The 22930-nt window shown below is 37.2% G+C and overlaps 1 protein-coding gene across 3 annotated transcripts in view; it reads left to right on the top strand.

Annotated features, from left to right (window-relative positions):
• The window catches only part of CA8 (carbonic anhydrase 8), a 95989-nt gene extending 89458 nt beyond the window's left edge, over positions 1-6531 (top strand). For all 3 annotated transcript variants that reach the window (NR_135821.2, NM_001321839.2, NM_004056.6), the window contains one exon: positions 1958-6531. The gene's annotated coding sequence lies outside the window, so the exon portion shown is untranslated. The remainder of the gene's footprint in view (positions 1-1957) is intronic.

The raw sequence follows: 22930 nt of genomic DNA, 5'->3' as shown, positions 1-22930 counted from the left end.
CTGAATCATGCCCTGAGAGCTTCAAAAATGAATAGGACACCAACATGTATGTGCATCTGTTGCACTGTGGATGTATACTAAATGTTAAATTCTGCTTTGGCTTGAGACCTGACCTCGTATGATTAGAATGACTGTGTATTTACCTACCCATATTTTATTTCATGTTTTGGGCCATGGTAGCTTAATATTTAGAAGGCTGGATATATTCTTTATAATGAAATTTCATAAACTTAGGATACATGCTTCTAGACCAGCCTCTCCCAAATGAGTTCTGCAGCGCACTGGTCCTCCAAAATGTGTGTTAAATCAAGAGGTGACTGTTCACATATATCTGGAGAATCCTGGATGTAATAATATCCTCCTTTTGGAGATTTGCAATGCACATCAGCATATTAGAGCCTCTGAAATGGCTTTGAATTAAAGAACCATATTTTAACAGAGTTGATACAGTATTTTTTAACATGGATTCGTTTTTTCAACCAGGTTGTTGTTTTTTATGGAACATAGTTTGGGAAACACTGGACCCCAGGTTATTTCCTTTTGCAGAAAATAAATACATTGTGACCTTTAGGCCCCATTAACTCTGAATTGGTGTGATTTTACAGTTTGATAATCAATTTCATATCACTTTCTTGAAAAGTGCTAAAAGTATATTTTTAACTATGTGAGGTAATACACATGCTAATTAGCTCGATTTAGCCATTTCACAATGTGTATATATTTTAAAACATTTTGTTGACATGATAAATATCTACAATATTTTCTGTCAATTTAAAAAGATTAAAAAATTTAAAAAGATTTTATTGTGACTATCATATTTGAAATGTAGTTTGGTCCTGGTAGAGTGGGAGCAGGAAAAAATATATAGTTTGGAAATACATAACCCAGCATTATAAATATTTTCTAATAAATTTTTCCAGACATTCTATATATTTGTATGTATCTATGTTTATATATGTATGCATATGTAGAAATGTGTGTGTGTATATATATATATATATATAGTGTGTGTGTGTGCAGGTGTGTCCACAGATACATATATACTATATATGCATAATTCTGAAATACTGCATAGTAATATAATTTATTAAGGAAAGGAGGCTATTTTGTTTTATTATTTTTTCTTTTTTTCCAAAGGACATTGCCCAGAAGGAGGCCATTTAGTTTGTTTCCAGTTTCTTTTTGCAGTGAATATCCTTACACATAGACTCTTTGTATGATTGGATAATTATATGTCTATTATAAGTTCCTAGAATTCCAAGTCCAAAAGTATATGCATTCTAAATTTTAATAGAGATTTATTACCTACCTTAGGCAACTAATAAGACTGCAAATTTCCCACTGCCATTGCTAGCAATGCTAGTTCAACATCAAAAAGTTCAGTATCATTGAACTAAAATCTTAGCTGATGTTGTTTTCCTATATGAGAAGCACATTATTTGTTATCTCAAACAAGTACTATTGTCATATATATATATATATATATATATATATATATATATATATATATTCTGCATTTATTATTTATTTAATAGAATTGTAAGTCATTTGGGAATTAGGAATGAAGGGGTCTGTGTGCTCTTGAGCTACCATCCATCTGTGATTATTATATGTGAAATGAATGACAAGAACTTAAAGCTTTATTTTTATTATTTGACATGATATACATATTTTTTGTTTGTAAAATAGTTCAAGCATTATTTATTTTGGATGAAAGTATTTGCTTCTGTGAAATCCTGCATTAATAGGTCTGCCATAGAAATAAAATTATGGTAAACTTTGTGGAAAAATTGCAGAGATAACAAACTTGAGCACAAAGATATTTTTGAAATTTCCACATTTTCTTATGAAATTTTTAGTTTTTACTATCTCTTGTACTGTAAAAAGACTTTTCAGTCTGCTGTGGAAGAATATCAGTAACATAATTGATTCATTTTTTTTTTTTTTTTGCCTGAAGGAGGAAGACAATGGTCCTATAATGCCCTTGGATAAGAAAAGGAAACTTTTGAGCTGCACCTTCAGTTTATCCTCAAAGCCTGCGTTGTTTGTCTTCATCTAATCCAGCTTTGATGGACATCTGTGATGGTTGCCTGTACACTTGCTGAAATGAAATATTAGAAATGGCTGTATATTCCAAAGAAACCCTATATTATATATCCACATTACTGCTGCTAGGATTCATAGTTGCACATACTGTTTATTGCTTATGTGTAGAAGGAATGAAACTAGTTTCCAGAGTTGTTATTAATATGAATATATATCATGTGTTAATATTGAGAAAGGAAAAATACATTCCCGGTGTTAGTAGTTCTTCATTTCCTGTCTCCAACAGAAAATTCACTCATTTTAGAACTAGTGTAATTCTTGATAATAAAATAAGAGTTTTGATTAAGAACAGCATAGAGCTTCAAAATGCAAAGTGAATGATTAGTAAAATTATGTCTCATTTTATTTTTTCAGCACCCATACCACAATTAATATTAGGCTGGATTGCCATGGGAAACATTTTTTGGCATTAATGCAGCAACATAATACTCACTTTAGGTATTACTACATAGTTGAAGGATTTAACTGAATGTATGGATCAAATTTATTTATTTGACATATTCGAAGCTGTGGTTTAATAGGAATTTGAGAAAGGTGTAAGAAATAGGATAAAAAGAAGGTCAGCACCATGTACCAGGAATAGCTTTACTTTCCATACATAGAAATATAAATTTAGTGGTATCCTATATTACTTTAGTGTCGTACGCTTTGTAAGACTTAAATATTTTATTCTATTGATTCCACTACTTTGGTATGTTAAGACATTTCTTTAAAGATGACCAACAATATCCTTATTTTAGGTGCCACTAGCAGATGTAAGCGTATACTTAGTTGCCGTTAGATGTGACAGAATGAGATAATTTATGTAAAGCAGTAGAGTACCTGGCACAAAGCAAACAATAAATATTATTGTTATTGTTGTTATAATTGTAAAATGAATGACTTCAAAAACATAGTCCCAGTTTGGAGGGATTTTGTGATGCAGAATATCTAAGTCATAGAAATAGAAGACAGGTGGAATAAGTATATGTTCAGAGTTTTTAGATGTGTTGAGTAGAGACGGTAATAATGGAAGCATTAAATACAAATGAAAATCACACCAGATATCCCTGAAATTCAAGCAAAGAAAGTTCATCATGTATTCTTGGGCAGCAAGAGAAAGGACTAGGGTTATGGCAATGTGTGGAAAAGTTGAGGCTTGCTAAGGGTTGAGATCTGTTGGTAGCCCTGGATCACATGGGGTCAGCACCAGGCAGTGCCTCTGAAAGCGGAGAGAGGTCCTGGACTTCCCTTGTGTATAACAGTTCCTAGTGTCCAACAATGAGGAAACGGTGAAGCATGGTTACAAAACTGTGACAAAAATATTTACATCTAGCACTGTTACCACTCACATGCCAAACATTGGCTGCACACGTGCAGCCTTATTTGTAATTAACATCAAAAGACTAGATCTGAAGCCTTCCATAAATGAGAGGCCATTCATATGGCATTCCTGGAACAAAACACTGCACAGGTACCAGCCTCTCCACTCCTGACCGGGTTGGTGCTGAACAGTCAGGGATTGTTCTTGAACTAGACTTCTGATGCTTCTTGCAATCTTCTTTCATCTTTCCCTGAAATACACAAAATAAACAAATACAATAACAAATAGTAATTAAATGACTTTCAGGATAACATCTAGTTGTTCAGACTTCACCCTTCACAGGTGTGTGTGTATGTGTGTTTATGTCTGTATATTGAAGCAATTTGAATTTATTTACTGTATATTTTCTGAGTAAAAGACTGAAATGAACTACTTGGTTCAGATCATGGTGTCCATTGGTGACATTGTTTGGAGGCATAATATTCTTTATATGGAAAATCCTTTAATTCCACAGTTAGTTACCTCAGATTCAGAATATGAATACTGTTTATAATACGCTTTTGTAGGAATGAATTTGAAAGGTAGTTTGTCAGTAAACGAAAGCACAACAACTAATCTCAAATCTGTTTTGATGGTGTGATAGGAAAGAAAGTAAAACCTATGTGATGGACCCTGTAATTGGGGCAGGAATCTCCCAAAGAAAAAGGGGAGAATTAATGACAAATGTCATAGATCTTGAAATTTAATTTAGGGTGCATTTTGTTTATGAAACAATTTAATAAGGCAACAAAGTGAAATGATTTTTCATGTAGCTTATACACATGTAAGTGCCTCTGATTCATGGTAACTAACGTACCTGATGGTGTGTAAAGTAATACTGTTGTCAGAAGGTTTGCCAATTAAGATAATTTGAGTTTACTCTTTTTTTGTTGGTTAGTTTAGCTGAAGGCTTGTCAATTTTATTGATTTTTTTCAAGGAGCCAAAGTGGATTTTGGGGTTTTCTCTATTGTGTTTGTATTCTCTATGTCATCAAACTCTGCTCAAATCTTACAAAATAGTAAGATTAGTAAGAAAGCAGACTAACTTCTGCTTGCTTTGTATTTAGTTTGTGTCTTTTCCAGTATTTTAAGGTGGAAGGTTAGGTTATTGATTTGAATTCTTTTTTGAATAAAGGCATTAACAGTTATAAATTTTCCTCTGAGCATTGCTTTAGCTGCATCCAATAAGTTTTGGTATGCCATGTTTTTGTTTTCATTCATCTCAAGGTATTAGAAAATACTTTGCCTTTTAATTTCTTTTTGATGCAATGGTTATTTAGGAGTACATTGTTTAATTTCCACATATTTATGAATTCCCAAATTTGTTATTGATTTATAATTTTTTTCTGTTGTGATCAGAAAACATACTTTATATGATCTCAGTCTTAAATTTATCGAGGTTTGCTTTCTGGCTTAGCATATGGTTTATCCTGCAGAATAATCCATGTGTACTTAAGAGTATGTATTGTACTGTTGTTGGATGCTGTGTTCTATAGATAGATGGCTGTTAGGTCTATAGTGTTGGCCTGTTGTGTTGTTCAAGTCTTCTATTTCCTTGTTGATATGCCTATTTCTGTCTATTATGAAAGTAGTGTATTGAATTCTCTGACTGTTGTTGAATAATCTCTTCCTTCAATTCTGTCAGTTTTTTTCTACATTCATTTTGGGACTTTTGTCCTTCTTTATCTCTAGTAACATTTTTTTATTTTAATATATACTTTGTCAGATATTAATATAGCTGCCCCAGCTTTCTTATAGTTGCTATTTGTATGATGTATCTTTTTTCATCTTTTCACTTTCAACTTATTTATATTTTTGAATCTAAAGTGTGTCTCCAACTTATAGTTGGATCTTGTTTTTTTTTGAAATCCAGTCTGACAGTCTCTCTGCCTTTTGGTTGGATTATTTAACCCATTTGCACTTAATGTTATTGTTTATATAGTTGGATTTGTGTCTGCCATTTTACTTTTTGTTTTCCACATGTCTTGTATCTTTTTGTTGTTGTTCCTTTATTCCTCCTCTATTACTTTTTTTTTAATTAGGTGAATATTTTCTAGTATATTTCAATTGCTTTAATTATTTTTTTCATTTTTTTGAGTATATTTTCACAGTGGTTGCTAAAGGGCATATCATATACTTGTTAATTTATCAGAATCTATTTCAGATTTATAATAACTTTATTACAGTGAGTTATTTAGTTACTACTAAATAGCTCTGAACTCTCTTCTCCCTTTTTGTGCTATTATTGTTATACATATTACATCTATACATGCTGTAAGCCCAACAATACATTGTTATATTTTTCCTGTAATTGTATGTATATTAAGCAAGCAGAGACTTGAGAACAAATTATATTTATAGAGTTTCTTCTAGTAAGCTTTTAATTTACCATTTCTGGTTATGTTCATTTTGTCTTGTAAATTTGAGTCACCATCTGGTGTGATTTCTTACTCCAGTACTACTTTGTTCTTATTTACCTCCTTTGTGTTGTCATTGTCAAATATGTCACATTTGTATATGTTCTGGGTCTAAAGCATAATTACATGATATTTTATACAATTGCTCTTTAAGAGAAGGAAGAAATGCATTTATACTGTCTTTCATAATTACATAATTACATTTACCAGTGCCCTTTTTTTTTTGGAATGGATTCAAATTAGTATCTGGGGTCACTTCATTCCAGGCAGAAGTCCTTTTTTTAATATATTTTTATATAAGGCAAATCTGATAGGGACAAATCTTTAGTTTTTGTTTATATGGGCTATCTTTATTTTACCTTCTTTGAGATAGTTTTGCTAAATATAAAACTCCTGGTGAAAAGTTTCTGTTTCTGTTTTTGTTTTCTCAGCATCTGCTGAGATGCCAGCTATAAAGCTTAATGAGGTTTCCTTCTACAAGACAAATCGTTTTTCTGTTTCTGCTTTCAAAAACAAATGGTTTCCCCCCTGCCCCAGATTTCGTACTATGATGTATCTGGGTGTGAGTCTGTATTTATTCTGCTTGGAATTTGTTGAGCTTCTTGGGTATGTAGATGAATGATTTTTTTTAAGAAAAATATTAAATTTGGGATGTTTGAGCCATTATTTCCTTGACTATTCATTTCCACTTCTTTTTCTCTCTCCTTTTCTTCTGGTACTCCCATTATGCATGTATTAATGCACTTAATAGAGTCTCATATTTCTCTGATCTTCTGTTCATTTTTGCCCCATCTTACACCACCCCTCTGGGGCTTTTGTTGTTTTTGATTGTTTATTTGTTCAGTGACTTGGCTGTACTATTTTATTTTATTTATTTATTTATTTATTTATTTATTTATTCATTTTTGAGATGGAGTCTCACTTTGTTGCCCAGGCTGGAGTGCAGTGGCAGGATCTCAGCTCACTGCAACCTCCTCTACCTGGGTTTTCTCCTGCCTCAGCCTCCCAAGTAGCTGGCATTACAGGTGCCTGCCATCGCGCCCAGCTAATATTTTTGTATTTTTAGTAGAGACATGGTTTCACCATGTTGGCCAGACTGGTCTTGAACTCCTGACCTCGTGATCCACCCACCTCGGCCTCCCAAAGTGCTGGGATTGCAGGCGTGAGCCACCGCACCCAGCGGCTGTACTATTTTAATTAAGTCTGTTACTCTTGTAGTGTGAACCCTATAATGTGGTTTCTCAGAGAGCACTGCCCTGGGCATGTACACAGTCACTCTGGGATGACAGTAAGTTAGTAGGGCTCTCTCTGTGTCTTTCCTTGATTTCTCTGCCTAGCTCTTTGCTTCCATTGGTATTACAACTACCTGTTAGGTTCCACTAATTGCTAGCTAATTATTCTATTGTTTTTGGCAATGCCGTGGGGCATAAATTGCTCCACATCTGATTCAATTATATTTGGGCCCTTTTGCAGGATTAGAGATAGAACTTCTGCTCTGTTAGTGGGGATTGGGTAAAGGAAAAGGGCTCATGACCTCTGGGTCACAGCCCCAAGAGATTTAGCCTCTTGCAACCCATTAGTATCCCTTGGCTGGGAGCTGAGGGAAGAGGGAGACCCATCTTCTTGATCATATTTCCCAAAGAGTGGAGTTTTAATCATACTAAGCTGGGGTAGAAGAAGGGAGGCAGCGAATTTGTGGCTCAAATTTCAAATCAAATACTCTCACTTTTCCTACTGAGATTTAGTAGATTTTCTTGAGTAAATGTTTCTCCATTTGCTATATACCCTTAGGACAGTTTTCAGACACCTATTTATTTATTTACTTTAATTGCCACAGTTTTCTTCACTGGGGAGCAAGTCTGTGGAGATCCTCACACAGCTATCCTGGATGTAGTTTTCTGTCATTTAAGATAGTACGTTACTCAAAATGTCAGGCTATCAGTCCTTTTTTGGAATTTTCTCAAGTAAGCATATTTCTCAAAATTTTGTATCATATTATAATTAAGGGTGGGCTCATGCTTTTTGATAGCTTAAAGTTTAAAAGGGAATGTTTCTTAATATGAAAATGAAGTTGACATAACCTAATATTAGTCATTAACTTATTGAGTTAATTACTCTGAAATTTTATTTCTATATTTTAACTAAAGAATTAATTAGAGTGCTCCAATTAATGATTTTTAAGTCTTCACAAACAACTCCAACATGGCACAGTTATAAAATAGACATCTAGAAAAACCTCATTTTCCTTAGAATGCTGTCCACTTGTTTCTATTAAAACATATGAATATAGCAAATATTGATTGATGAAAAGCAGGCTATTAAATATAGTTTATAATCTTGGGTCGTAAAGAATTATGAAGAAGATGAGGCATTATCCACCAATGATGTAATGCAGCTCTAAGGATATGTACAAGGAAATAGTCTTTTCTTTTTTTTATGTTTCCTTGCTTTGTGTGGAGCCGTTTTCCTGTAGCGCTTTTGTATGAAGCTCTTACCTGGCACTCACTGAGGATGTGAGGTGGTGAGACGTGACTGAACCTTCAAACACTTTTAGGAAACAACAACACAGAAGCAAAGGTTTTTAATTGGAAATCTTGTGCTATATCAGATTTAGATCAAGTTTTGATAAAGCATACTAGAGGTTTTACACTTCAGGTTATACAGAATGCCCATTTGGAAATGATGTTATTGAATTTGAAGAAATTTTTCCATTTCTGAAACTTGAGCGGAGCCTGTGACACAACTTTTTCCTGCACTGGAACAGTGGCTGTAGTGAGTCAGTAAAACTTAAGAAAATTCTTAGAGCTGCTCCAAAGATCTAGACTGGCTTGTTTTACACTTTTTGGATCTGATTCATTTCCAGGATAACTGTATTGCCATTCCTTTGATGGACTTTAATTGCTTTCAAATTATTCTGGAATTCAGTCAGCCTCAATAGGAATTTTCCTGTGAAAATATAATAGACTCTGGCCCAAAGGGACTTTTCAAAAATGCAGATGGAAGTCTATACATTGCATGAAAACATTTTATCTATTATAACATGAAGATACTTCTTTATGGCATACAGGAAATCTATTGTATTATAGCACAAGACCGGGATGAAAGCTGACCCCTTGCAATTTTAGTCATATTAAATAAATTTTCTTGCTAATGCTTTTTGAACAAATCTCACTTGAATGAAATAATCTCTTAATATGAAACTATAATATACATGATTTCTTTTTCATTTTTTTACTCACTTATGGAAATTATCTTCATATGAAATAGTTCCAGATACTCAAGAAAAATATTTGGAACTCTAAAAAATCACACTCAAGTCTAGTGAAGTCTCTTATGATGGTTTTGCAGAAAGGGAACTGCCTCCGCTCTTAGGCTCAGTAGTCATGATAGCCAAGCTCAGCCTCGTACATACTCAGAAACAGGAAGAAGTTTAAGAAGGACAGGGAGGAAGTAAGTATGAAGCCTGTAATTCCAAAGATTATTTTCTGAGTCCACAGAAAGGAAATGTGAGCACAGTTCTTGTGGGTAAATTGGTCTTCCCAGGAAGAGGAATTAATGCTTCTAGTGCACAAGGAGATTCTTTTCTCTTTTAAAAAATTTTTATTTTTAGAATTAGTATCTTGCTTTGTCTCCCACTCTGCAGTGTAGTGGTATGATCATAGCTCACTGTAGCCTTTAACTCCTGGGTTCAAGAGATTCTTCATGTTAGCTTCTTGAGTGGCTGGGACTATAGGCATGTGTTGCCACACCTGGCTACATTTTAAAAGTTCTTTTTAGAAATGGGGTCTTGCTATGTTGCCCAGGCTGGTCTTGAACTCCTAGCCTCAAGCAATCCTCCCTCCCCAGTCTTCCAAATTGCTGGGATTACAGGTGTGAGCCACCACCCCTGGCTGACTTTCTTATTTATACAAGTATAAGGTAATGTCTAAGTGTCACTCTGCTGGAGAGATGAGTAGCAGGTGAGCAGTTAACTCCCAAGGAACAGTACATGTCACCTAGGTTAGGAATGTTATTACTGTTAGTGCTTGCACAAAACTATGTATTTGAAGCATTTCATGGATATTGATTACACCTGCTATTTCTCAATGTAGTTCTGACCCTCGGGCTCCAGCCTTGTGTTCCTCTGTATCAGAGCCTCCCTGAGAAAGCTGTTAAGTCCATTGCTAACTTACACATCTTTGGCAAGAGAACACATATTTTCAGTGCCACCCTGGGAGGCCTTACTTATGTTTACCATCACATGCATTTGTATTTGTCAAATACATGCTTATTATCAAATCATACTGTAGAAATGAGTTCAAAGGAGACAGACAATGTTTGAGCCAGTAATGTTTTTTTCTTTCTTTCTTTCTAAATTGTCTTTTAAAAACCGGCCAGATAAGATGACAGAATTGATCAGGGTTTCTTTTCTTCAACTTTTAAGTTCAGGGGTAGATGTGCAGGATGTGCAGGTTTGTTACATAGGTAAATGTGTGCCATGGTGTCTTGCTGCACAGAACATCCCATCACCTAGGTATAAAGCCCTGCATCCTTTAGCTATTCTTCCTGATGTTCTCCCACCTGCCCACAGGCCCCAGTGTGTGTTGTTCCCTGCCATTGTGCCCATGTGTTCTTATCCTTTAGCTCCAACTTGTAAGAACGTGGTGTTTGGTTTTCTGTTCCTGTGTTAGTTTGCTGAGGATAATGGCTTCCAACTCCATCTGTGTCCCTGCAAAGGACATGATCTTGTTCCTTTCTATGGCTGCATAATACTCCATGGTGTATATGTACCACATTTTCTTTATCCAGTCTACCATTGATGGGCATTTAGGTTGATTCCATGTCTTTGCTATTGTGAATAGTGCTGCAAAGAACATACATATACATACATGTACCATTATAATAGAATGATTTATATTCCTTTGGGTATATACCCAGTAATGGAATTGCTGGGTCAAATGGTATTTCTACCTCTAGATCTTTGAGGGATCGCCACACTGTCTTCCACAACGGTTAAAGCACACTCCCACCAACAGTGAAAAAGCATTCCTTTTTCTCCACAACCTCGTCAGTATCTGTTGTTTTTTGACTTTTTAATAATAGCCATTCTGACTGGTGTGAGATGGTTATCTCATTGTGGTTTTGATTTGCATTTCTCTAATAGATATAAGGATTTCTTAATTCTGTACTCCAATTTAGCCAAAGGAAATCTTCTACTTCTTTTGACCAGAAAGAAAAGTGTGTTAAGTGTGTCTGTGGTCAAAGAACAATTATTTAGATTTTGAATTCATTTAGGATCTTTCCTATGACTTGCAAAATACTGGTAAAAAAAAACAAAAAACAAAACAAATATCCCCCAGCATCACCAGTTCCCCCATCACCTTGAGAGGCAGGAAAATCAGTAACAGGAAGCTGTGGCACATCTCCTCCGGCTGAAATGTGAAAGTGGTGCCTCAGCACAACCAAGTGGAGGGCATAGAGTGACTCTAAGCAGGAGCCGATGTATTACAAGAGAATGTGCCTGGGGTAGGTGCAGAAATGAAAGCGGCAAGAGTGACGAGAGATGTCACAAAAGGAGTAGAGGATTCCAAGGCAGCCAGATCCCCAGTGGAGTAACAACTGGGGAAGACACAGGTCAGTACTTTAGATGAATCCAGTTGATATTTGTAACACTGTTCTCTGGACACAGTTTTGTGACTAACTCCAAGTAATGCAGTCATGTGGTTACATTGTGTCATATGGTCCTATGGGCAGGCAATATAGAGGTTCAGGGCATAGACTGGAGCCAGACTCCTTGTATTAAATCCTGGCTCTGAGTCCTCCCAGCAACGTGTGCCTTGGGCAATGTACTTAATTTATTGGGCCTCAGTTTCTTCATCTTTAACTTCAAGACATGAATCTTAAGATGTTTGTATTTTAGTACTCATGGGAATATATTTGCATAAGTGTTTGCTATTATTACTCCATCACCCATAGGAATATCTAAAACATTAGGAAAGCCCTTTTATCCTACAGTTATGCTTTAGTAGTTTACAAAAATACTGATTCCACAACTGTTTATTGAGCATTTTTTCAAGTTCCAGGCACTGTGCTAGGAAAGAGTAACAGGGATGAATGGGACCGATGTAATCTCTACCCTCATGAGGTTGATAGACTTTAAGTGGGTAGGCTACCTGGATGACCTAGGCTCGGCAACCCATTCTGCACTCTTCCTGGAAACTTTACAACCTACATACTTCTGTGTTTAGCCTATCAGCATCCCAGGCTCCGCTGCACCAAAGGGCCTGATCCCTTTTATCTTCCCAGATCTCATTTCCTATCCAAGATGATTGACAAGGATGACATCCAGTTACAGCTTCTCATTCTTCAGTCAGAACACCAAAATGTGGGTTTTCTCTGATCTTCAATAGTAACATGACAAAACAGCAAACATGAAAAACTCATGACCTTAAGTAGGGCCTAAAGAGTGAGGAACTTTGTGGTGCTTTCGTTACCTCACCTTCCATGACCTCTATTAATTCTGTCATGAGAATGGAAGGGACCAGCCTTGTGGTTCTGTGCTTTCCTAGTGATTGTTGGCAGGCCCACATGTTCAGAGACAGAGGAAGCACTGCCACATGCCAGTGGCTAAGAGCCCTGGGCTGCTGGAGCAAACTGCCCAAGGTCCCACTGATACAACCACTGTCTTGCTTCTCTTCTTTCTCACTCACTTTTTCTTTTTGGAAGGATAATCATTCCAGGGCCCATCGGCTCCACAGGAGCCCTCTGCACAGACAGTCATGGATCGCTGTCTGCAGCCTATGCCTGTATTGATACATGCTCAGGTACCAGGAGAGGAATATCACACTCTTCAAGGCAGAGACACCTGAGGTGCCTCTCACCCCTTTTTTTTCTTTCTGCACACTAGGCATCAAAAGTAACTGCATTGCTTAGGAAGGATCAACCTAAAATAGGTGCTGGACATCAGAATTCTTGAAGGAAGATGAAATAATTCATGAAGGATGAGTAAAACCTTGGGAGTTCGCTATGTGGGAAAGGCATGACAAAGCAATGCACTCACCCTTGGAATTAATTGATTCCAAGGAAGGGGCAGGTTCTCTGGGGCAGGAGAGGGGACTGGGGACAGCTTGGGGAGTCTCTCTCCCCAAGAGGATGCTTAGGCCTCCTATTAATAAGAGTATGGGTGCCAGGCACATTGGCCCACACCTATAATCCAGCACTTTGGGAGACGGAGGCAGGAGGATCACTTGAGGCCAGGAGTTTGAGACCAGCCTGGGCAGCACAGGGAGACTCCATCTCTACATAAAATAAAATTAGTTGGGTATGGTGGCACATGCCTGTAGTCCTAGCTACTCGTGAGGATGAGGTGGGGGGGATCACTTGAGCAAAGTTTGAGACTCCAGTGAGCTATGATGGAACCACTGCACTTCAGCATGGGTAACAGAGTGACTCTGTCTCTTAAATTTAAAAAGGATATGTGGAGGTACAAGTGCTTCATTTAAAAAAAGTAAAAGCTGTGTGACCTCTTTTGATGCACAAGCTGGTAAAGGAAGTCATATCTATTATTTACACACAACAAACTGTAAAGAAGATGCAGTGGGTTTGGATGCACATCTGCAGCTCTTCCTCACGAAGGTCGTGTCACTGGCCCTGAGCCACGTGACAAGGAGAACACATGCACCTCCTCTGGCGCCCTTCCTTGTGCTGCAGATTGTTCTCTTCCAAGCCAATTCTTCTGATTTTTCCTCGTGATAATGTCTTTTTCATCACAGATAATTCTTCGGTCTCTTTTTATGTACTTGCCCCAAAGTGCAGTCTTGAAGTCCTGAGTCTTTTTCAAGAGATTTCTCCAGGAGATGTCTTTCCTCCAGAATGTTCTGTGAGGTGATGGTGCCTCATGGACTTGTTGATGAAAATGGCTGCAGGAGGCCCTACTCTCTGCCTCTCTCTGTCCTGTGGCTGCATCACTGTTCTCTATAGCAGCTTCTTTCTCTACAGTGACACCAGCCTTCTTTACAATGTAATGATAGATGATGAAACACTTATCACCTGTTTGATTAGAAAGAGTCATTTTCTGCTTGGATCTGACTGGAATAATCTCCCACATTTCCTCACAACACACTAGACTTCCTATGCAATAACATTAAATCGGGGTGGGTGATGTGGGCTTTCTTTTTTAATCAATTAATTCCAAGTGTTGTATGTGTTACAGAATTACTGGGCTAAGTAAAAAAGAATGAACTGATGTTCTTTGCAGAAACATGGATGCAGCTGGGGTTCATTATCTTATGAAAATCGATGCAGAAATAGAAAACCAAATACTGCATGTCTCACTTATAAGCAGCAGCTCAAGACTGGATATACACAGACATAAAGATGGGAACAAAAGACACTGGGGACTACAAGAAGGGGGAGGCAGGAAGGGGGACAATGGCTGAAAAACTTCCTATTGGGTACTGTGCTCACCACCTAGGTGACAGGATCATTTGTACCCCAAACCTCAGCATCATGCAGTATACTCATGTAACAAACCTGCATGTGTACCCCCAAATTTCAAAGTTGAAAACATTTATTAGGTTAAGAATTCCTAGCTTTTCCTATCTTTAATGGGAATAGAAAGAATATTTAGTTTCCATGACACACTTAGATAAGGAATTGAAAACACTGTGTAGATAAATGGAGTTGTTCCTATATTCACCAAATATCAACACTCATTGCTTTTACTTCCAAGTAGAGTTAGCATTTAGACCTCATCTGTGGCCTGTTCATTGCCCACAGTAAAGAGGCATCTCTTAGGGCCAGATGGCTGAATGAAAGGAAGCTCCTCAATTGCCCATCTACCTTTATAAATTTGTTGTTGTTGTTGTTGTTTATATATAATAGTGGAGCTGCAAAGGCAAACAAAGACAATGCACGGACCACTTGCTTCATCTTGGTGTGTGCAAAAAACCTCTTCAACCCATACAGCCAGATTTTCAGCAGCCCTTCAGCCGCCAAACAAATATATGACATTAACAGAGCCTTCCACAGTTTCTGCCTGAAAACATTTGGTCTGTATGGTGAAAATAGGGAGATGACCAAGGTATGATATGATTTCATGAATCACATGGTATCTGGTCAAAGAGAAACTTTTTTCTTAGGTTCATAATGCTTAAAGAGGGGGAGAATAACATGAAGAAACCTCACCTGGAATACACTGGATAGATGAGGTGCATTAACCACATAGGTATGGGCTCCAAACTTTATAAAGTCAAGTTACTCAATTAGAATAGAAGCAGACTTCTGGGGAAAGTGAAGTCTAATTAGTGGTTCAGGGTCAATAACTCATATGTGGTGTCTGATAAGGTCTGAAGTCATAGTCCTGAAGAGAAGGGGGAGTTCACTCCAAGTTCTCACATATGGGATCTGATAAGAGGTCACATTTTCAAAGGGAGGAAGGAATACACTCCAAGTTCTTATTACAGAAAAACATACATCATTCACGAAGCGATGTTAGTGTTTGGAATCATTTCATAGCTATGTAACAACACTCTAGCAAGAGAATCTCAAGCAGATAAATAAATGGTCTTTTGATTCATATAAACGATAGAGTAATGAATTTGATCTAGTTCTAGTATTAATATATTAAAATGCTAACAGTTTTATTTAAACTAGATTTTAGACAAGGTTCTTTCACTGCTTAAAAAATCAACAATTACTGTATGATTGAATTGCATAGTTAGGAAATGGGCAGGGTTCTTCTAGCGGCACATCGAGTACAGAATTAAGTGACAAGGAGACTTGAGGGTCACTCAGGGACTAAAACTCTCATTCACTTACACAATGGGCAGTCCTTTCTTGGACAGGATGTAGGTTTGTGGGAGGTGATCCAGAACATAAGTGTGAGTTAACAGTAGTCCCTTTAATTCTATTCCCCCACATTCCTAATTAATACCACTCTATTGAACTATTGCCTTATTTTATGTTCCTTTATTCACTTATGCCATAAAACCCCAATTTAGTCACCATTGATGTTCTCTCAGTGTACACCTTCCATTTATTTCCATACCCAGCCTCCAGTCAGGACCAGTGCAATTTTTTTGGTAGCAATGTATTCTTTGCCTTTCAATTTCAACCCATCAGAAATCCTCGACAAATGTCCCCATATAATAATTGAAACAATTCCTGAAGAAGCATTTTTAAGAATTCATTGAATCAATGCATTGTCCTTTTTTAGAAATTCCGAGATTTCTGAAGAATAGTGCCACTATCAGGTGTCCCTAAATGCAAGCATGTAAGCATTATTGCTTACTGAGATGCCTCCTGGAATGATGGCGAGCTCACTTAGAGGCAAAAAATAGAATAAAATCCGATTTGCAGGCTGCTTGGGATCAGAAAACCCCATTAGGATGATTTCACTTAGTGCTTGCCATAAACTTTGTTGTTGTCTTTAATATGTTGCATATCGTGATGTGTATTTTATGTCTGGTGAGCAGGTGTCTGTATCCACCAGTGTAGGGGCTGTTGGACAGAGAAGGGTATGTGAGGGATGGCTGTGGATGGTATGGAAAAATGGGTAAAGCCAAGTGCAGTCATTAAGCTCCCCCATCTGACTTGTCTCTCTTCTTCCTTTTCTATTGTTGTAAGTTACACATGATTGCTAACATTGTGATATTTCTTTCCTGGCAGCGAGGGGGAAAGGATGCTATGCTGTCATGTATTTATTCAACAAATGCTTATTGAATTCTTATTATGTGTAATTACTGCATTGGGGCTAAGGAAAATGCAATCCTTGCCCTACACACACCTAATTATAATTCAGAGTATCTTGTACTCTGAATTATGTGAGTGGATGGCACACGCGTGGGTTCAAAAAAGAACAAAGAATATGCTGAGGTGATCAGGGAAGGTGACATATGACTTTAGGGTTGGAGAAGGCAGGTGAGGAGAAGGGATTCAGGTGTGTAGAGTAGCTGGAGGAAAGGTGTGAGGGGGAGACAGGAAACCCAACAGAGAGTTGGTGGATGGACTGAATCTAAATATATACAAGAAGGTGGACAGAGGTGATAATAAAAGACAGGATGAAGGAATCAAACTGAGTGCTTTGAGAACTAAATTATGAAACTGGACCTTCACCTACCTATAGAAGATAATGGATCCATTTTACAAGTTAAAGACTGAGCACTTAAGTAGCAGACATTATAATAGACACTGGAGATATTTGAGGATAAATAAGACCCTGACATTTAACCTCAAATAAAAGTAGAGAAGACCTGGCAGAATTTTAACAGAATTGATGTTTTCTGGAGGTTAGCCCCACACATTATTCATGGTGGACTGCAATGGAGAAAAGCGGAAGGCAGGCAATCCTAACTCCCAGAGGTGTGTGGGCAGGTGGAAGCGAAATGGAAGAAACAGACAAGGTAGGACGGTGCCTGCTTCACTTCCAGGGCTGAGAGCTGTGTATGAGGCTGCCTCATTCCCCTCATCCCAAGCCTTTCTTCTAAGTCACTCCTCTAACAGATAAGTCCAGACGTGAGTAAGCTGCTGATTCTCAGCTTACTTTTTTGGGGGAGTTATTTAGTTACTTGCAATTTTTTTCATTTCTCTTTAGGCTCCAAAAAATAGAAAAACATCTTCTTATCTTCAAATACCTTGCTTGTAAATTGTCCTTTGAAAACTTTATGACCATGTCTGATTCTCTCAGGTAGTGCTTAAGCACCTCCAGCACTGTGCTTTTGATCTCTTCGGTAATTCCCACAGCATATGGTTCCCCCATACACCTTTGTTGCCTGATAGATTTCCTAATGAGATAAAAGATTCTGAACTTATTACCAGACACAAACAAACCTCAGTAACAACTAAATACAAATTTACTTATTTTGTGGAAATGTAAACTATGACCTGTCTCTTTGTGTACATTTTCCCATCTTTTCTCAGCAGTCATTGCTGAATCCATGATTTCATGGTACAAATGCTTGTGATATGGAAAGTACTCAGCGGCTTCATGGCCTTTAATATGATCCTAAAGCCGTGGCACCCTTTTTCTTTCCAACTTGCTAACAACACAGCTGTTCAGGTCATAGACTCAGGATGGGAGTGTCTTCTTGATAAAACCTAACGGATGTGTGGTTGTCCTGTTAGTTTCTGAGCTTATTTCTGGTTTCTAAGCATTCTCTAAGAGGCTGCATGGGTCAGCTGCCCCACCCAGGGCCGTCCTCAGCTCTTCCTGGCATGCTGTAACCGTGTATGGCTCCATTTTCTCCAGGCCCATGCAGTCTTATCCATGCAGTGTGAGACAAATTTAAGAGGACTTTGGAGAAATGCATTTGGAGGGCAAAGGGGAGGGGGCGGCACGAGGCAAGCTGGCGAGAGCAGCTGGTTTAATAGAAGCGCTGGGACACTGGGACGGTAGGACAGTGGGACGGTGAGACGCTGGAAAGCAGGAGCCCATCCAAGGGCGGGGCAATGCTGGCACTCGCGAGACTCAGGGCAAGCCCACGAGAGTTAGCAAGCCCTCCCTGTGCACTGCCCCGGCCCACCCGCTGCCTCGTCAGTGTTGCAGTCTTCAACCCTCTCCTTCGTTTTTAAAACAGCACTCCTATTGAATACTTGTATTCTTCTTAAAAAATTGATTTATTCTATCTGTTTTATGCCACATGAGTGATTTTTCATTTAATGTAAGCTAGCGCGCTATTTCTCATTTTGATGGGGATTTGTCTTCAGAATTAATTTCAATCATTTCTTCTCTTCATATCTTTAGCTACAGACGGAACTTTGAAAGACAATTTAGATGATTCATTAGATCTTTAAAAATATTTCTTCCTGTTCCATAATTATTTTACTTAAAATTTATGAAGTTATATTTTTTCTTATTTGGAAGTGAACATAAAAATGTTATTCTGTTTATGTGTCAAATTCAGAGTAAAAAATTGCCAGGATTAGTTTGTTGTGTCTACATGTTTCGGTGAGTTTTCTTCAGTCTTTGCAAATGCCAAGAGCAATACTATTATTATTCTTTTACTTTGAACCTATCCGAGAAAAGATAGAGCCCCAAGTAGTTTTTCAATTAGCTTAGCCTTTTTACAAAAAAGGTTGTAACGAGAGGGTTGCCTGAAAGCCTTCTCCTTTCGTGTTGAAGAGATAAACCATGTCTGGTACATTGCCCTGCTTTGTCATGCCATCTTTTTCTTCACAAGCATTCTGAAATGACTGGATGGATGAACTGTCTTAAAAGGACAGCCTACTGTGATTCATAATCCTAGTACTGCAGCAGTGGTCATAGCTGCGTAAAACAAAAAAGCTTTTTTTCCAGCTTTGTGTGAATCTTTACTCAAGCGTTTAAAAACATGGAGTCTGTTCTTTCAGTGGGAAGAACTCCCATTAATGTTAATGAAAGTCACACACTTACCTCAAAGCCAGAAAAGATGCCTCAGTCTTTCCCCAGGAATCCTACATTATTTTTTTAAGAATGAAAAGAGTGTCTGGCCTTCTTTACTTTTTGTAGTTGGGCGGGATGGAAAAATGGAGCTGAGGCAGAACCTGGCAACATTTAAAATAAAGCTCTCCATTTGTTGACACTAGAAAAATACCTTATTGTCAGAGCATAAATGCAAATGTCTCCATCTGTGCTTGATACTTTTCAGATTTCTCTCTCTTTTTCACTTTGAAGGGAAAGTAAAAGTCATTTTGACTTTAAAAAGATAAAACAGATTTTAAAAATATTTTACATACACTATCCACTACTTTTCTCACTAATTCAAATCAAGAATCCTTATAGGATAGAATCTGAGGAACGAGAGGAGATGAAACACAATAGATGAAAGACACTGAAATAGTAGCAGCATAATGGTCCTGTTCCTCATCTCTTAAGGCAGCCTATTCTATCATTCTTATTGAGCTAAACTGTCTCTGATGTTGGTGGGCTGAGTGCACAGAAAATGCTTCATTTTCAAAGTATTAGCGATATCAATTACTAAATCCTTACAACCAAGAGTAATAGAAAGCGTCTGACAATAGGGAAGTATCATGGAACATTGCTCTTATAAGAATTATCATTTTATGTTTTAATGTTTTATGTCAATCCACCTGGTAAATCCCATTCACTTTGAGAATTTTGGGGTAGTTTAACATTTTGCTCAAATGGGGAGGCTGCACATGTAGCAGAAAGAGCATGGGTTTTGGGATTCAGAACACAGGCTCAAGTTTATTTTTTCAGCAAATATTTATGTGCTGTGAACTCAAGTGTTCAGCTTCCTTGTGGCTATGGAATTTTGTGTTTGGAACTTAGCAAGATTGTTAATATCTTACCTTGTGGCCAGGTGTGATGGCTCACACCTGTAATGCCAGTGCTGTGGGAGGCTGAGAGCTCCCATAGCAAGACTCTGTTTCTACAAAAATAAAAACAATTAGCTGGGCATGGTGGCACATGCTTATAGTTCAAGCTATTTGGGAGTCTGAGATGGGAGGATCACTCGAGCCCAGAAGTTCAAGGCTGCAGTGAGTTATGATTATGCCACTGCACTCCAGCCTAGGTGACAGAGTGAGACCTTATCTCTAAAATGTGTGTATTTGTCTTAGTCTGCTTTGTGTTGCCAGAACAGAGTGCCACAGAATGGTTAGTTTATAAAAAAAAGAAATTTAGTTTTCATGGTTCTGGAGCCTGGGAAGTCCAATATCAAGGGGTCAGCATCTGGCTAGGGCCTTCATGCTGCATTATCCTATGGAAGAAGGCAGAGGGGCAAGAGATTGTGACAGCTTGAGAGCAAGAGGGGGCCAAACTTGCTTTTATAATGAGCTCACTCCCAGGATAACTAATGCACTTTTGTGATAACAACACTAATTCCTTCATGAAGGCAGAACCCTTATGGCCTATTCATCTCTTAAATATCCCACCTTTTAATACCACCACCATGGCAATTACATTTCAATGTGGATTTTGGAGGGGATATTTGAATCATAGAGTACCTCCTTCATGATATGGCTCAGGCAAGGCAATCTAAATACTCTATATACATAGTGGCCAAGTGGCCATAGTGATTAGTTTGGGATGGGCACATGACCCAAACTAGGCAAATCCAGGAATTTTGCTGAAGCTTCCTGAAATGAGGAGTTAGCAAGGATCTTGGTTGGGATAATGAAAACCACCTTCTACCAATATAATAATACATCAACATATATATACATATATATGTTGTGTGTATATATGTGTGTGTATGTATATCTAACCTTCAAATTTTCTTCTGATACAGTTATCATGTCCGCATATATTTAACTCAACCCAGTTTTATTCATTCACTTGTCCCTAGAAAATAGAACCCATGAGCGTGATAATTTCTTGAATCCACATTTTAAACTGTGTATATTTGAATATGAATGGAGTCTCCAATTTTATATCACTTTTGAGAAAATAGTATCATACAGAGAGTAAGGGGAGCAAGAAAAAATGCAATACATACACGTATACATATATAAATGTAAATAATCTGCCTCAGTAATATAAATGTATCCAAAGTTATGACTGTTTCAGAAAGAATTCATATCATCAGGACCTTAACAAACCATACTGTTTGAAAAAAGACTAAGAGTGAACATAAAATTAACCAAAATGTAGGGAAACTATCTTTTCTTGGTGTTCTATTTCTGTATTTCTCCTTTCCAGAATGTGCATTCTTCAAAATTAAGGGAGCAGCAAAAATATCATGTATCTCAAATTGAACTCCCTTCTAGAATAGTAAGCGTCAATTTAATATGTTATTAAGAAATAAAAACACTTCATGAAAGGTAAGCATGAAAGCTAGGTGAATTATTGGCTGAGGTGGTTAAAAGCATGAAAATAAATAAATTTGGCAAAATGGGAGGGGAGATTTTATAGACGGCCTCAGGATCCATGACAGAGGCATCCACCAATGCAGAGACAGCAAGACAGATAAGAATATTGTGCGCTTAGCATTGCCCCCTGCTCATTGCCAGGTTGCCACATTAAATGCACTAGGTTGCTTCCCCTCATACTACCAGAAAGATGTTGCTTGGAATAATGAAAAATAACCCTCTACCAACATAATGCATCGGCTGATTTAACTAAAGTTTAAATCTTTGCTTTAGGGCTTGTGTTGAGCTTGGCTTCAACCTGTTTTACTCATCCTAGCATTGCGTGGAGAATGTAGTGTTCAAAAAGCAAGTGGTACGTTCAGTAGAAAAAGTGCAAGTTTTTGATCCAAACAGATTAATCTGAGTCCTTGCTCTACCACTTAGCATTTGGAAATAAGCTTTATCTATTTTTATGTCTTTAGAAGACTTTTCTGAACTTATGCTACCAATTTCTGTAGGGTTATTGTTTTTCCATTTATTCTAGTCATCTTACACCCAAAGTCAAAAATTCTCTATTTTGCCATAACCTGATGGGAGGAGGGTGGGTCCACAGATTATTATAAAGGGTTCACAGAATCAGAGATATTTCAAATATTACCTATAAACTAACTAAATAATGCCATATATATATATACACACATTGTATGCTACATTATTTTTCAAATATGTATATATTTCTTTCTTTCAATAACTACATAAAAATTTCAATAACTAAATAAAACTCATTTATAAATATCTCACTTTTTTGCAGTTTTTTTAATCAATGGGTGATAAATATATAAATAATATCATGTAGATTTTTTTAAACTTCAAAAGATCTCTAAAAAGTTAATATTGTTAAAAGGATTTTTCCCTGTTTATTTGCTCTGATTATTTTAATATCTTTTTAAGTCCTTATTTTCTCTTTTTTCCTTCTCACCTTTCTTTCTAAGTGAGGTTCGCTATTTTGTATGTTCAAAGTCTCTATTAGTTAATACCAAAAAAAATAGACTGAAGAAAATAGTTGGCCATTGCCTCTTCCCATGGCTTCTTTTTTTTTTTTTTTTTTCAAAGAACTTTGTTCAGGTATATAAATTGTGTGAGTGCCTCCATCCCATGCTACTGAGATTTAAAAATAAATAAACTTGTATTCCTTCAGCTGAGGTTCTCCTTAGTGGTTCATATATCTCAGTATGCCATACATTTGTTATACATATATACGGATGTGTAAGAGCTTCGCCTCTACAGCTTCCAGGGT

This window comes from Homo sapiens, chromosome 8, assembly GCF_000001405.40.
Source record: "Homo sapiens chromosome 8, GRCh38.p14 Primary Assembly".
NCBI lineage: Eukaryota > Metazoa > Chordata > Mammalia > Primates > Hominidae > Homo > Homo sapiens.
The sequence above is the reverse complement of the archived record's forward strand: the minus strand, read 5'-3'. Positions and strand labels throughout refer to the sequence as shown.